At 41.3% G+C, this 16,026-nt stretch overlaps 1 protein-coding gene across 1 annotated transcript in view, besides 1 other annotated feature; it reads left to right on the forward strand.

Moving 5' to 3' along the window:
- Positions 13,651-13,945: an enhancer, noted in NCBI's record as "tiled region #4379; K562 Activating DNase matched - State 5:Enh". NCBI's record gives its function as "activates a minimal TATA promoter and a strong SV40 promoter by Sharpr-MPRA in K562 cells {active_cell/tissue: K562}" and the evidence as "EXISTENCE:reporter gene assay evidence [ECO:0000049][PMID:27701403]".
- The window catches only part of SPATA31H1 (SPATA31 subfamily H member 1), a 45,337-nt gene continuing 42,965 nt past the window's right edge, over positions 13,655-16,026 (forward strand). The window contains exon 1 of the mRNA NM_032266.5: positions 13,655-13,839. Within this exon, the coding sequence (NP_115642.4) occupies positions 13,696-13,839 (144 nt within the window). The 5' untranslated portion in view covers positions 13,655-13,695. The remainder of the gene's footprint in view (positions 13,840-16,026) is intronic.

The raw sequence follows: 16,026 nt of genomic DNA on the forward strand, positions 1-16,026 counted from the left end.
TAGGATGGGTGGCATGGGTTGGTCTTAACAGCAGATTTGTTTCTTTAATTCTGTCCCCAACTCCATTTCATTGGTCCCTAACACAAGCCTTATACTGGCATCCCTATATTTTCATTACCAACATGCAGCCACGTGTGCATGCGTGCACACACACTCCAATCCCACACAGACACACAATGAGAGGTGGGAACTTTTAGATAATTCCAGGGGAAGAGGGAAGAAGTTGTGTACCTAACATAGGAAACCCAGAAAAAGGGCAGTCTTAATCAGACATGACAAGATCTAGAATGACTGCTACATCCACGCATTAGACCATGAAATGAGGGTCACATCCCCTGCCCCGTGTTTGTAAGAGGAACATAAGGAACTCTGGAGGTGCTGAAAGCCCTTGGTGGTGGGACCCAACAAACACTAGAAACCCCGGGCTGTACATTTTAGACATCAGCTACCCCATGTTTTGACAAATCAAAGACACCCTTGTTCATCCTAGATTCATGCCAGCTCTTTAGGGCCTGTGATATATGGCCCTGACAGTAGAGAGCTGGTTCCTCCTTGTGCCTGAGAAATATCCAGGTAATAGATACTCAGGAACATTCCTCTGGGGATGAAACTCTCTGGAAAGGTCCCTGGAACTTTTAGGCAGGAGGGTGACTGCAAAGGAGCCAGATTTTGGTTTTATGAGGATAGAGTAATCAACCTTTTTAAGGTGGCCATAGGCCCCTCTGTGCATCTGAGGGCCTGCAGCCTCTATGTGAGCTCTGTTTTCCTGTTCCACATCTTCACACTGATGCCTTGGATGATCAGTAATCCCCCTTTCCCCAGCCACTACTCTCACGATGCTTCCTGAGTACCACCCCTTTCATCTTCCACAAACACCTCTCCCAAATTCAAGATGGCTAAAGTTAGGAAAGGCTCCTGCAAAGTCCCTCTGCTTCTCTTCACCCACAACTCTCTACCACGTTCTTTCATCGGGTCAGTTCATCTCTCAGCATGGTGTCATGAACAGTGTCAAGTCTGAGAAGATACCTAGCATTCTGGGACCCCAAAGGGCAGAGCACCCCTTGATCCTGTTGATGATGCCAACTGTACAGTAGCTCCCCTCCCACATTTGGAGGGGATAGGGCACAGGGTTAGATTTCTCCAGGGCTGGATGCAGAAGAACTCTAGAAGCCCTGAGTTCTTTTAGTTGCCAAGTACGTGGATGGCATGAAGACATCAAGTGAATTCAATTCTTATGTAGTTGGACACAATATTCAGGTATTATGAATATTGTGGGACATTATTGTGGGACATTATGAATATTGTGGGATAGCCTTGGGGGACATTAGAAGCTAGACACACTCTGGCATTGTGGCAGAGATGAAGATGACTAAGATCTGATGCCTACCCCCTAGAAACTCACAAGCACATAGCAATTAGAATACAAGACAGAGTTGAAGTGGATTAAACAGCGGGATAAGTACAGAGAGCTGCTGAAATTACAGGGTAGGCCAAGAGTCAAGGAAAGTTTTGGAAGAAAGGAGGCTGGGGTGGGGTAAAGGAACAGCCAAAGAAAACGCAAGAAGGTTTGAAGATTCACACTGGGATATGGATCTGATAGCAGAGAATCTGGTCATTGTCAATGGGATTTGTGCTCCAGGCAGAGCTAAAGAAGTTCAAAGATTTTTTTAGAACTATCCAGACACAAATGATAGGGTGACAACTTTTGCAGTTATTTGGAGAAAGTAAACATCTGAGGGCAAAAACAGCAAGAGAATAATCCATTATTAATACAAGGCAGTAATTATGTAGAAAGGACTAAAGGGCCTGGGCCTGAAGACTGGATTAGATTGTGGAAGATGAAGAAAACAATTTCCCAGCACATATATTTGCTGGATCAAAAGCAAAAGGGGGCTAGGTGTGCCATCCTAGCTACTTGAGAGGCTGAGATGGGAGGATCACTTGAGTCCAGGAGTTCAAGGCCAGGCTGGGCCACATTACAAGACCCTGGCTCTAAAACAGAAAAAAAAAACAAGAGGGGGTGGGACAAAATATATTTGGATATCGCACATACTCTAAGCCTGACGTTATACACACACACACACACACACACACACACACACACACACACACACATATATATGGAATATATAATATATATCCATATATATATATGGAACTCATGAACTCGTCTCCAAAATCTAGCTAGCTATTCTTTTCATAATTTAGATGGTCTCTCTCTCTTTTTTTTTTTTTTTAAGGAAAGTGTCTCACTATGTTGTCCAGGCTGCAGTGCAGTGGTGCGGTCATAGCTCACTGCAGCCTCGAACTCCTTGGCTCAAGCAATCTTCCTGCCTCAGCCTCCCGAGTAGCTAGGACTACAAATGTGCACCACCACACCTGGCTCATTTTTAATTTTTTTTTTGTAGAGATGGGGCCCTGCTATGTTGCTCAGGCTGGTCTTGATTCCTGGCCTCCAGTGATCTTACTGCTTTAGCCACCCAAAGTGCTGGGATCGTGTGTGTGAACCACCACACCTGGCCAACATTCGTCCGGTCTAACATTCAGATTGTTTTGAATGTTACACAGCCTGGAGCCAGCTCTTGAATATTAGATAAGCTATAACGTTGAAAGAGGATGTTGGGACCAGGTAGGAGACAGAGGGGTCTCCATCTGGTTCCAGGGATGGGCTCTACAAATACAGCAAAATGCCTAAGATCCAATGGAAACTTAGGGTTGGACCCAATTGGACAGGTGAGTCAAATCCTAGGGTTGAGAGGACAGGTACTATATCTAGGTGATGCAAAATGCTCCCATCCTGGGAGAGAGAAGTGGGTCATTTTTAAGCTAGTAACTGGGGTGCTGTGGAAAAGACAAGGAAAAAGACAGGAAGAGGATCCCTGGAGCATCTTGTAGTCACAGAAAGTAAAGAATTGCTCAAAACCTCCACAAGGATGACAATATGTCAAAGGGATACAAGAGCCAATGTGAAAGAGCTCCTAGTGCCTAAAGTGGGAACAATTTGAGCAACAAAATAAGTAACAAGCTGGTCATGGTGGTAGGCGACAGCAGTCCCAGCTACTTGGGAAGCGAGGTGGGAGGATCGATTTCTTAAGCCCAGGAGGTTGAGGCTGCAGTGAGCTGTCATCATGCCACTGCACTCCAGCCTGGGTGACAGAATGAGACCCTGTCTCAAATAAATAAATAAAATTAAAAAAAACACTTGGTTTAAAAAAATACATGAGTACGCGTGAATTCGTACCGTTATAAGCAAATGATTGAATAAATAAAGTGGGGGAAAGTACCAATTTTTCCTAAAGAAGAATTCTAAATAAACACACACGCGCGCGCACACACACACACACACACACACACACACTCCTTTAGGAAATGGAGCTTAATCATCCCACACCACCTCTCCTCCAATGTGGGTTAGATTTAGGGGCTCACTTACAAAAAAACAGAGTATGGGAAAGGGAATGGGTTTTACGGTGGAGAAACCAGGCAAGCACTACCCTAATCAAGTAATCAAGATGGGCATCACCAGCAGGTATCACGCACCTCCTGATATGATATCATGAGAAAGGCATGTCACCTCTGTGGTATTCTTCCCCCAAACACATAACCTCAGTCTAAGCATAAAGAAAACATCACAGTAACCCAGCTTTAGGGACATATTATAAAATACCTGCTCATATTACAAAATACCTGAAAATTTTCAGTCATGGAAAACAAGAAAAGACTGAGAAACTGTCATAGACCAGAAGAGACTCAGGAAGCATGACTCACCTACAGGGTGCTACCCTCGGTTGGATCCTGGAAAGATAAAGGACTTTAGTGGCAAAACTGGTGAAACTGCATGAAATCTGGAGTTTAGTTAATAGTAAATATACCAATGTTAATCTCATAGTTTTGACAAACGTACCAAACTTATGTAAGATGTTAATGTTAGGTGAAACTAGGTGAAATATATATGGGAATTTGCTGTACTATCTTTGTAACTTTTCTGTAAACCTGAAATTTTTCAAAAATAAAAAGTTTATTCAAAAAATAAATTTAAACTGAAAGCCTTTCCTCTTAGATCTGGAACGTGACAAAGATCCCCACTTTCACCACTGATATTCAACACAGTACTGGAAGTCCTAGCTAGAGCAATCGGACAAGACAAAGAAATAAAGGGCATCCAAACTGGAAAGGAAGAAGTCAAATTATCCTTATTTGAAGGAGATGTGATTTTTTTTTTTTTTTGAGACAGAGTCTTGCTCTGTTGCCCAGGCTGGAGTGCAGTGGTGTGATCTCGGCTCACTGTAACCTCCGCCTCCCGGGTCCAGTCGTTTCTTCTGCCTCAGCCTCCTGAGTAGCTGGGATTATAGGTGCACACCACCATGCCTGGCTAATTTTTTGTTTTTTTGTTTTTTTGTTTTTTTTTTTAGTAGAGACGGGGTTTCACCATGTTGGTCAGGCTGGTCTTGAACTCCTGACCTTGTGATCCACCTGCCTCAGCCTCCCAAAGTGTTGGGATTACAGGCTTGAGCCACTGCACCTGTCAAGATCTCTACAATGAAAGCTATAAAACACTGATGAGAGAAATTGAAGATGGCACAGAAAAATGGAAAGATATTCTATAATCATGGATTGGAAGAATCAATGTTAAAATGTCCGTAGTACCCAAAGCAATCTACAGCTTCAATGCAATCTCTATCAAAATATCAATGACATTCTTCACAGAGATAGCAAAAACATCCTAAAATTTATATGGAACCACAAAAGACCTAGAATAACCAAAGCTATCCTGAGCAAAAAGAACAAAACTAGAGGAATCCATTACCTAACTTCAAATTACATTACAGAGTTATAGTAACGAAAACAGCATGGTACTGGCATAAAAACAGATACATAGACCAATGTAACCGAATAGAGAACTCAAAAACAAATTCACACACCTGCAGTGAACTCGTTTTTGACAAAGGTACCAAGAACATACATTGGGGAAAAGACAGTTTCTATAATAAATGATGCTGGGAAAATTGGATCTCTGATATGGTTTGGTTCTGTGTCGCCACCCAAATCTCATGTTGAATTATAATTCCCAATGTTGTGGGAGGGGCCGGGTGGGAGGTGACTGGATCATGGGGGTGGAGTTCCCCCATTCTGTTTTCATGATAGTGAGTGAGTTCTCACAAGATCTTATGGTTTAAAAGTGTGTGGCACTCTCCCCTTTGTGCTCTCTCTCTTTCCTGCTGCTATGTGAAGAAGATGTTGGCTTCCGCTTCACCTTCCACCATGATTGTAGGTTTCCTAAGGCCTCCCAGTCATGTTTCCTGTTAAGCCTGTGAAACTGTGAGTCAATTAAACCTCCTTTATTCATAAATTACCCAGTCTCAGGTAGTATATCCATATGCAGAAGAATGAAACTAGACCCGTATCTCTTGCCATATACAAAAATCAAATCAAAATGGATTAGAGACTTAAATCTCAAACTATGAAACTACTATCAGAAAACACTGGGAGAAACTCTCTAGGACATTACCCTGGGCAAAAGTTTCTTGAGTAATTCTCTACGAGCACAGGCAACCAAAGCAAAAATGGAAAAATGGGATCACATTAAGTTAAAAAGCTTTTGCACAGCAAAGGAAATAATCAACAAAGTGAAGAGACAATCCACAGGATAGGAGAAAATTTTTACAACTACCCATATGACAAGGGATTAATAACTATATATATGTATATATATATATATGGAGCTCAGCTCTATAGGAAGAAATCTAATAATCCAATTTAAAAATTGGCAAAAGATGTGAATAGCCGGCCAGGTGCGGTGGCTCATGCCTGTAATCCCAGCACTTTGGGAGGCCAAGGCGGGCGAATCACGAGGTCAGGAGTTCGAGACCAGCCTGGCCAACATGGTGAAACCCTGTCTCTACTAAAAATACAAAAATTAGCTGGGCATGGTGGCACGTGCCTGTAATCCCAGCTACTAGGGAGGCTAAAGCAGGAGAATTGCTTGAACTGGGACCCAGCAGGTGGAGGTTACAGAGAGCTGAGATTGCACCATTGCACTCCAGCCTGGGCTACACAGCGAGACTCCGTCTCAAAAAAAAAAAAAAAAGAAAAAAAAAGAAAAAGAAAAAAAAAGATTTGAATAGACATTTCTCAAAAGAAGACATGCAAATGGCAACCAATCATATGAAAAAGTACTCAACATCACTGATCATCAGAGAAATGCAAGTCAAAACTACAATGAGATATTATCTCACTCCAATTAAAATGGCTTTTATCCAAAAGACAAGCAGCAACAAATGCTGGAGAGAATGTGTAGAAAAGGGAACACTTGTATACTGTTGGAATGTAAATTAGTACAACCATTACGGAGAACAATACCACTGCTGGATATAAAGACAAAAGAAAGGAAATCAGTATATTAAAGAGATATCTGCACTCCCATGTTTGTTGCAGCACTGTTCACAATAGCCAAAATTTGGAAGCAACCTAAGTGTCCATCAACAGATGAATGGATAAAGAAAATGTGGTACATATACACAATGGAGTACTATTCATCCATAAAAAGAATAAGATTCTGTCATTTGCAACAACATGGATAGAACTTATTTCACTTATTATGTTAAGTGAAATAAACCAGGCACAGAAAGACAAATGTTGCATGTTCTCACTTATTTGTGGGATCTAAAAATCAAAACAGGCTGAGCATGGTGGCTCACCTGTAATCCCAGCACTTTGGGAGGCTGAGGCAGGTGGATCACCTGAGGTTAGGAGTTCAAGACCAGCCTGGGCAACATGGCAAAACCCCTTCTCTACTAAAAATACAAAAATCAGCTGGGTGTGGTGGCAGGCACCTATAATCTCAGCTACTTGGGAGGCTGAGGCAGGAGAATGGCTTGAACCTGGGAGGCAGAGGTTGCAGTAAGCCGATATCGTGCCATTGCACAGCAGCCTGGGTGACAGAGCAAGACTCCGTCTCAAACAAACAAACAAACAAATAATTGAACTTATGGAGATAGAGAATAGAAGGATGGTTACCAGAGGCTGAGAAGGGTAGTGGAGGGGTAGTGGTGGGGAGGTGGGAATTGTTAATGGGTACCAAAAAAAATAGAATGAATAAGGGTGGGCACAGTGGCAAATGCATGTAATCCCAGCACTTTTGGAGGCTGAGGCGGGAGGATAATTTGAGCCAGGAGTTCAAGACCAGCATGGTTAACATAGCGAGAGCCCATCTCTACAAAAAATAAAAGAAAAATTAGCTAAGCATGGTGGTATATGCCTGTAGTCCCAGCTACTAAGGAGGCTGAAGCAGGAGGATCCCTTCAGCCTGGGAAGTTGAGGCTGCAGTGAGCCATGATTGCATCACTGCACTCCAGCTTAGGTGACAGAGCAGTATCCTGTCTCAAAAAAAAAAAAAAAAAAAAGAATAAGGCACAGTATTTAATAGCACAACAGGGAGACTAAAGTCAATAATCAGTTAATTGTACATTTAAAAATAATTAAGAGTGTAATTGGATTCTTTGTAACACAGAGGATAAATGCTTGAGGGGATGAATACACAATTTTCCATGATGTGATTATTCTGCACTGCATGTGATATGGTTTGGATCTGTGTCCTCACCCAAATCTCATGTTGGATTGTAATCCCCAGTGTTGGGGATGGGGCCTGGTGGGAGGTGATTGGATCATGGGGGTGGAGTGCTCATGAATGGTTTAGTACTATACCCCTTGGTATAGTGAATGACTTCTCAAAAGAGCTGGTTGTTTACAAGTGTGTGGGACCTCATTCTCTATTTCTTCTGCTTCGGCTGTGTGAAATGAGCCTGCTTCCCTTTCCCCTTCTGCCATGAGTGTAAGTTTCCTGAGGCCTCCCCAGCAGCTGCTGTGCTTCCTGTACAGCCTGCAGAACAGTGAGCCAGTTAAATTTCTTTTCTTCATAAATTACCCAGTCTCAGATATTTCTTTATAGCAATGCAAGAATGGACTAATACTAATCATAGTATCATAATTGTGTTATGGAATATGTATTATGATCTAAAAATAAAAACATGTATTATGGAATACAGTATCATAATACAAATATCTCATGTATTTCATAATATATATTATGTACCCACAAACACTAAAAATTAAATTTTTTAAAAAATTAAAAATAAATATATAAAGTTAAAATTCCTAACTACAATAACATATATTTGGGAAGGGATAAATTGAGTTAAAATATTCTAAGGGCCTTGATTTTTCCATAAAGAAGATAAAAGTTTTTATTAATTTAAGGCTTTGATAAGCTGTGTGCATATTGCATTTTAAAAGGTATCTGCTAAAAACAGGGTTGGCAAACTTTTTCTGTAGAGATAGATAGTAAATATTTTAGTCTTTGCAGGCCCTGTGGTCTCAGTCATTACTGTTCAACTCTGCTGTTGCAAGCTTGAAAACAGCCGTAGACAATATGTAAAATGAGTGTGGCTGTGTTCCAATAAATCTTCATTTGCAAAAACAGGCAGCATGCTGGATTTGGCCCACAGGCCATAGTTTGCCAAGCCTTGCACTAAAAGAATAAAAACAGTATAATTTCTAATTAGTAAAGGGGGAAAATGAAGTAATTAAAAATAGTCATCTAATTGAAAGGCAAGAAAAGAGAGAAAAAGACTGCGCCAGGTGGCTCACATGTAATCCCAGCACTTTGGGAGGCTGAGGCAGGTGGATCACCTGAGGTCAGGAGTTTGAAACCAGCCTGGCCAAGATGGCGAAATACTGTCTCTACTAAAAATATAAAAATTAGCTGGGCGTGGTAGCATACATCTGTAGACCCAGCTACTTTGGAGGCTGAGAAAGGAGAATCGCTTGAACCTGGGAGGCGGAGGTTGCAGTGAGCCAAGATCACACCACTGCACTCCAAAGTGGGCAACAGAGTGAGACTCTGTCTCAAAAAAAAAAAAAAAAAAAAAAGGAGAGAAAAAGAAACTTAAAATATAGGACAAAACAGGAAGTACTAAGAGGACAGATCATGGCCCAAATACTTTGGTAATTACATTAAAGGTAAATGAAATACATGCCCCAATTAACACTTTTTTTGTTATAGATGTGTCTCTTGCAAACAGCATATATATGGATTTTGTTTATTTTGTAGCCAGTATTAAAGCAAAGGCATATAGAAAGGTTGATAGTAAAAGAATGGGAAAAGATATACTGTGAAATACCAACCAAAAGAAAATAGCTATGGCAATTGTCATGCCAGAACCCTATTGACTTCAGTAGGGATAGCATCATGTTGCAGAGGCTAGAGAAGAGACCTGGAGCTAGCAAAGAAGACATTGGGCTTATTGAGGGAAATTACATACAGGGCAGTCCACTGGTGGTGGGCTAAACAGGAGAACCAAACTGCTTATAAAAAGCATGCAGTTTATATAGTATTTTCACTTAGCACCCTCCTCCTAGCAACCTCCTCCTGGCAACTTTCATTTAACTCAAAACAAAAGGCTTCAGTCCCCTGTATGTCCTGCATGTCACAGGCCATGCCGGGGGTTCAGATGTTCATTATACATAAGGAATAAATAAATCTCCAGATTGGCCACTTCTGGATTCCTTAGCTTGGAAATCCAAACACACATTCTTCTTAGAACACAGGGTCATTCTCAGGCTATGCTTAAGTTAAGTTGATACTGTCAGATGTATCTGCCATACAGGGTCATTCTTAGGGGTATGCTTAAGTTATGCTATCAGGTCCATCTACCGTACAGCAATATTAATATCAGACAAAATAACTTAAGGCCAAAAGTATTACTAGAAATGAACAGGGACTTCATAGTGTTAAAATATTTAATTTACCAGGAATGTATTGTGATTTTAAAGAATGATTAAAAATATATAAAGCAAAAATCTACAGCTCTCAAAGGAGATATAAACAAATACACAACTGTATTAATAGGTGATTCTACATGCCTGTCTTAGTAATTGATGGATAATCAGACAAAAGCTTAGGAGTATAGATTTGAACATAAAGACTAGCAAAATTGACCAAACGGACATATAGAGACTGTTTTTATCACTTGTGGAATACATCTCATTTTAAAACACACATAGAATTTTTATAATTGACCATAGACTGGGATAAAATCTCAAACATTTCAACGGATTGAAATGATTTGAAGTATGTATTCTGATTACAATGTGACTTGGTTAGATAACTTTTCTAGTTATCTAACCATATATGTAGAATCCCCATATATGTAGAAATTTAAACATGAATTTCTAAATAATCCATGGATCAAAGAAATCAATATGGGAACTAGAAAATAGTTGGAACTAAATGATAACAAAAATTCTACATATCACAACTGGTGACATGCAGCTGAAGTAGTACTTGGGAGGAAACATACCCGATTTGCATATATTAGGGGGAAAGAGCTGAAAATGAATGATTTAGGCATTCATCTCAAGAAGAAAGTTAGAAAAATAGCATCAAAATACATCCAAAGAAAGTAGAAACGAGGAAATAAGGCAAAGGCAGAAATTATTGAAATAGAAAACAAACATACAAAGTTAGTTCTTTGAAAGGATTGACAAAATTGAACAATCTCTAGCAAGATAGGCCAAAGAAAAGGGGAAAAAACCCACAAATAACCAACACCATGAAAACAAAGGAGACATGACGACATTTGAATAACTTTGTCAATACATTTGAAAATGTAGATTAAATGGAAAAATTACTAGAAAATATACCTTCCAAAGCTGACTCAAAAAAAACCTCTCATGGCTGGCTACAATGGCTCGTGCCTGTAATATCAGCTACTCAGGAGGCTGAGACAAGAGAATTGCCAGAGGCCAGGCGTTCAAGACCAGCTGGGGCAACATAGTGAGACCCTCATTTTTAATTTTAAAGTAATTAATTTTTATTCCCCCCCATTCTCAATAGTATAATAATCTTCAAAAAAATGGAATATGTAGTCAAAAATCCTCACTCAAAAAGAACTCCAGGTTTGTATGGTTTTGCTGATGAGTTCTACCAAAAATTGAAGGATCAAAGGGTTCCAATCTTACACAAACTCTTTCAGAGCATTTAAAAAAAGAGGAAACATTCTCTAACTCTTGAATCCAGCATAACTTTGACACTAAAAACCTGACGAGGACAGAAAAAGAGAGAAAAATTTCAGGCTGGCCTTGATCATGAAAATAGATGGCTGGGCGTGGTGGCTCACGCTTGTAATCCCAGCACTTTGGGATGCCAAGGCGGGTGGATCGCTAGAGTCCAGGAGTTCAAGACCAGCCTGGGTAACATGGCAAAATTCCATCTCTACAAAAAATACAAAAATTAGCCAGGCATGGTGGCACATGCCTGTGGTCCTAGCTACTTGAGAGGCTGAGGTGGGAGGATCGCTTGAGCCCGGGAGGTGGAGGTTCCAGTGAGCCGTGATCATGCCACTGCACTCCAGCCTGGGGGACAGAACAAGACCCTGTCTCAAAAAAAAAAAGATGCAAATATTCTAAACAAAATATTAGCAATTGGAATGCAATAATTTATTTAAAGTCTAAATGGCCAATTAACTTATGAAAGTGTGTTTTAACTTTAGTAATCAGAGAAATTCAAGTTAAAACCACAATGAAATACCACTATCACACACACCACATTGGCTTAAATTAAACAGCTTGACAATACCATGTGTTGAGATGAAAATAGAGCAAGAAGAACTACCATTCACCACTGGTAGAAGTAGAAATTGACATATCCACTTTGGAAAGCAGCTTGGCACTGTCCACTAAAGTTTGTTACACATACGCTATAACTTAGCAATTCCATTCCTAGGTAGACACTGTACAGCAGGTATTCTCAAAGTATGGTCCCTGCATCAACAGCATCAGCATCACCTGGGAACTTTGAAATGCCAAATCTTTGGGCTCCACTCCAAACCTACTCAACCAGCAACTATAGGTGTAGGGCCCGGCAATCTGGTTTATAATAAACCCTCCACATGACTGTAATGCATTTTAAAGTTTGAGAACTACTGCCATAGAGAATTAGGAACTTGTGTTTACCAAGATGCATGGACAAGGATGTTTTTGACAGCATTGTTTATAATAAGCAAACACTGAAAAGAAGCCCAATATCCATCAATACCATAATGGATAAATATGTTATAGAATAGTTATATAATACAATGAAATATTAAAAAATGATGAATTACAGCTATACAAAATATGATGGCTATCTCAAACATAATGGTGAGTAAATATTTAAGACACAAAGAATACATTTTTATATCCATATAGAGAAAGGTTCTTGTCAAACTATATATATAATATATAAATATGTTTTATATATTATATACATAATGTTTTAAGAACCCAAAACTATGTCTTCAGTTCTAATCTTTTTTTAGAACTCCAGGCTGGCATATAACTAGTACTTGCCACTTAATGTGTGTTCAGCTCATATTACATATCCATATCTTATTCTTTATCGTTATAATCTGTATAGTGACCACAGAGTATTCATAATATGGGTATAGCACATTTATTTAACTACTTTCTTCTTGATGGGCTTTTCTAGAACATTGCTTAGGCTGCCCCTGTAGGCTGAAAATTCTATGAGGTAGATACCTCATCTGTCCTCTAAGACATTACCTGCTGTTCAATAGTTCATCGAGTTGCTTTTCCAGATTAACTTTCCTATAAGAAAAAAGAATGCCTTGGCCAGTTTTATTAATCTTTGTTATAGAATGAATTGATTCCTTGTACATTTTTTGTTTATAGTGAATTAGCCCTAGAGAATCCAGTCAAGTCTGGATGACATGATGGAATAAATGTTCTAGACTTGGAAAATGAGACTGTAGATTCTGGGGTAGAGTGATCCTCTAAGGTAATTTAATTTCCCTCTCTGACATCTCTTTTCCATCTCAATGCAATAGCAGCTAGAAAATGTGTCAAGCCTTAGACTTAGGAAACCGTTTATCTCAAATTTTCTGAGAGTACCTACTTAAAATATCCTAGCTTTCTTAAATTTACTTGACCTTGGCCGGGTGCGGTGGCTCACGCCTGTAATCCCAGCACTTTGGGAGGCTGAGGCGGGTGGATCACGAGGTCAAGAGATCGAGACTAGCCTGGCAAACATGGTGAAACCCCGTCTCTACTAAAAATACAAAAATTAGCTGGGTGTGGTGTCGCGTGCCTGTAATCCCAGCAACTTGGGAGGCTGAGGCAGAGAATTGCTTGAACCTGTGAGGCGGAGGTTGCAGTGAGCTGAGATTGTGCCACTGCACTCCAGCCTGGAGACAGAGTGAGATTCCATCTCAAAAAAATAAAAATTACTTGACTTTGTATTCTAGTTTGTGGTTTGGGGCATTTAACACCATATCTGGACTTCCAGGGAGTGACTGGCTCCAGAGAAAATGCTTGTAGGGCAGAACAGGCCACTTGGGAGGCCTGCTTCTTTAAAACCTTGCCTACATACTCCCTACTTAATGACAAGCTGTCTAGCCCAGTCCTAGAAGAGTCATAAAGGAGTTCTTCCCTGAGCTTTGGCTGTCAGAGTGGAGCCTGTGGACAGCTGCAGGAAGGGGCAGCAGATTGTACTTTGGGTATGGCTCAGAGAAGAGAGCTAAGTAGCATGCACATTGGCTGGATGCTGTCAGATTTACCTTGGGATGCCCATTGTGATGTCATATGAAGTCACAGCCTTGAGGCAGAAAACTCTGGCTGAGAAGAGCATGGGGTTGAGAAATGGCACCAATTTGGGGGATGGACGTCCCACTGCCATCAGATATCAGCCTTCTATTATTGTTTGTTTTTTTTATTTGGCGGCTTTGGACACTGTTTTCCAGGAATCGGAGCTGGAAGCAGGTGGCAGCCAAGATAAACTCAGAGGTATGTGATGTAGCCCTCCCTTGAAACTAACTGGTCCCGCTCCTGAGGCCATAGAAACTGCCATACTTTGGGCCATGGGAGGAACTGGATGCAGGGAGAGGGGAGTTGAGACAGTGCCCATGGATAGTCTTCCTATAGATCACTATAAATCCTTTTTCCTTCAATTCATTTCAACAGACCTAGAGACTATCGCCATTCTCTAGGAGCTCGAGGTGAAGTGGGGGAGATGGATATACACATAACTGGAAAGAGAATGTGATTAAGAGTTAATAGAGGTATAAATGTTGCTGACATGGGAGGTAGACAGTATTTTGAACTAGGGGGCTCTATAAAATACCACCTGGGAGAGCTCAGGTTTGAGTGTGCTTCAGAGGAAGAGTGGGATTTTGAAGGTGGTTGGAGTGAATAGAGGAAGGCAGTGGAAACCTTTTAAAAAAGAGGGAATACATTGGAAAAAAGATGTGGGAAAGGGAAGCGTATTGGATGTGTTTGAGGAGAGATGTCACCAATCTGGATGGAGCATAGGACTGTAGGGACTCAGAGAGAGAAAAGATTGACAAGTTAACAGAGGTCACACTGTAGAGCTTTGAACGCCAGGCTGAATACTTGGTATAAATACAACTCTGTGCAGTTTGAAAGACATCAAAGATTTTAAAGCCAGATAAAAATGTGCTTAGATCTGTGCTTTGAGGAGCACTTCTTAAACTTTAACATGCATATGAATCACCTGGGGGATCTTGTTAAAAAGCAGATTCTGATGTAGTAAGTCTGGGGTAGGGACTGAGTTTCTACAATTCTAGCAAGCTCCCAGATGCTGCTGCTGCCCTTGGAATGAGGGCCACACAGTAAGAATGAGGTTTTGAATACCTCCAGTAAGCTTATATGGTAGTTCTCTGGCATAGCTAGGCCATTTTCATGGTTTAGTGGGAAGAAGCGAGGAAACAAAAATATCAGAGTGGCACGGTGAAAAAGAGAACGTAGCCGGGCGTGGTGGCTCTCGCCTGTAATCCCAGCACTTTGGGAGGCAGAGGTGGGCAGATCACTTGAGGTCAGGAGTTCGAGACCAGCCTGGCCAACATGGTGGAACCCCGTCTCTACTAAAAATACTAAATTAGCCAGGCGTGGTGGCGTGCACCTGTAGTCTTAGCTACCGGGGAGGCTGAAGCAGGGGAAACACTTGAACCTGGGAGGCAGAGGTTGCAGTGAGCTGAGACCACGCCATTGCACTCCAGCCTGGGTGACAGAGCGAGACTCTGTCTCAAAAAAAAAAAGGAAAAGAGAACATAAATTAATTCCCCAAGTATTTATCACCTGCTCCTACCCCCATTTCCACTCCTCTGTGCACTATTGATACAGCAGTAAGTGGAAGAGAAAAAAATATCTGCTATCAGGGATGTGAAAGTGGAGGAGGTATTGGGGTGAATGTTTGGATGTGGAAGGTGTTGCAAGACTCCCTTGCAAAGGAGGGAGAAGGGACTGAGTCTATTTTTCCTGATGCAAAGAGTTAATTATAAACATTATCATCATTTTCTTTTTTTTTTTTTTTTTTTTTTTTTAATTGATCATTCTTGGGTGTTTCTCGCAGAGGGGGATTTGGCAGGGTCATAGGACAATAGTGGAGGGAAGGTCAGTAGATAAACAAGTGAACAAAGGTCTCTGGTTTTCCTAGCCAGAGGACCCTGCGGCCTTCCGGCCTTCCGCAGTGTTTGTGTCCCTGGGTACTTAAGATTAGGGAGTGGTGATGACTCTTAACGAGCATGCTGCCTTCAAGCATCTGTTTAACAAAGCACATCTTGCACCGCCCTTAATCCATTTAACCCTGAGTGGACACAGCACATGTTTCAGAGAGCACAGGGTTGGGGATAAGGTCACAGATCAACAGGATCCCAAGGCAGAAGAATTTTTCTTAGTACAGAACAAAATGAAAAGTCTCCCATGTCTACTTCTATCCACACAGACCCGGCAACCATCCGATTTCTCAATTTTTTCCCCACTCTTCCCGCCTTTCTATTCCACAAAACCGCCATTGTCATCATGGCCCATCCCCAATGAGCCGCTGGGCACACCTCCCAGACGGGGCCGTGGCCGGGCAGAGGGGCTCCTCACTTCCCAGTAGGGGCGGCCGGGCAGAAGCGCCCCTCACCTCCCGGATGGGGCGGCTGGCCGGGCGGGGGGCTGACCCCCCCC

The sequence above is a fragment of the Homo sapiens genome, chromosome 2, assembly GCF_000001405.40.
Source record: "Homo sapiens chromosome 2, GRCh38.p14 Primary Assembly".
In the NCBI taxonomy this organism is placed as follows: domain Eukaryota; kingdom Metazoa; phylum Chordata; class Mammalia; order Primates; family Hominidae; genus Homo; species Homo sapiens.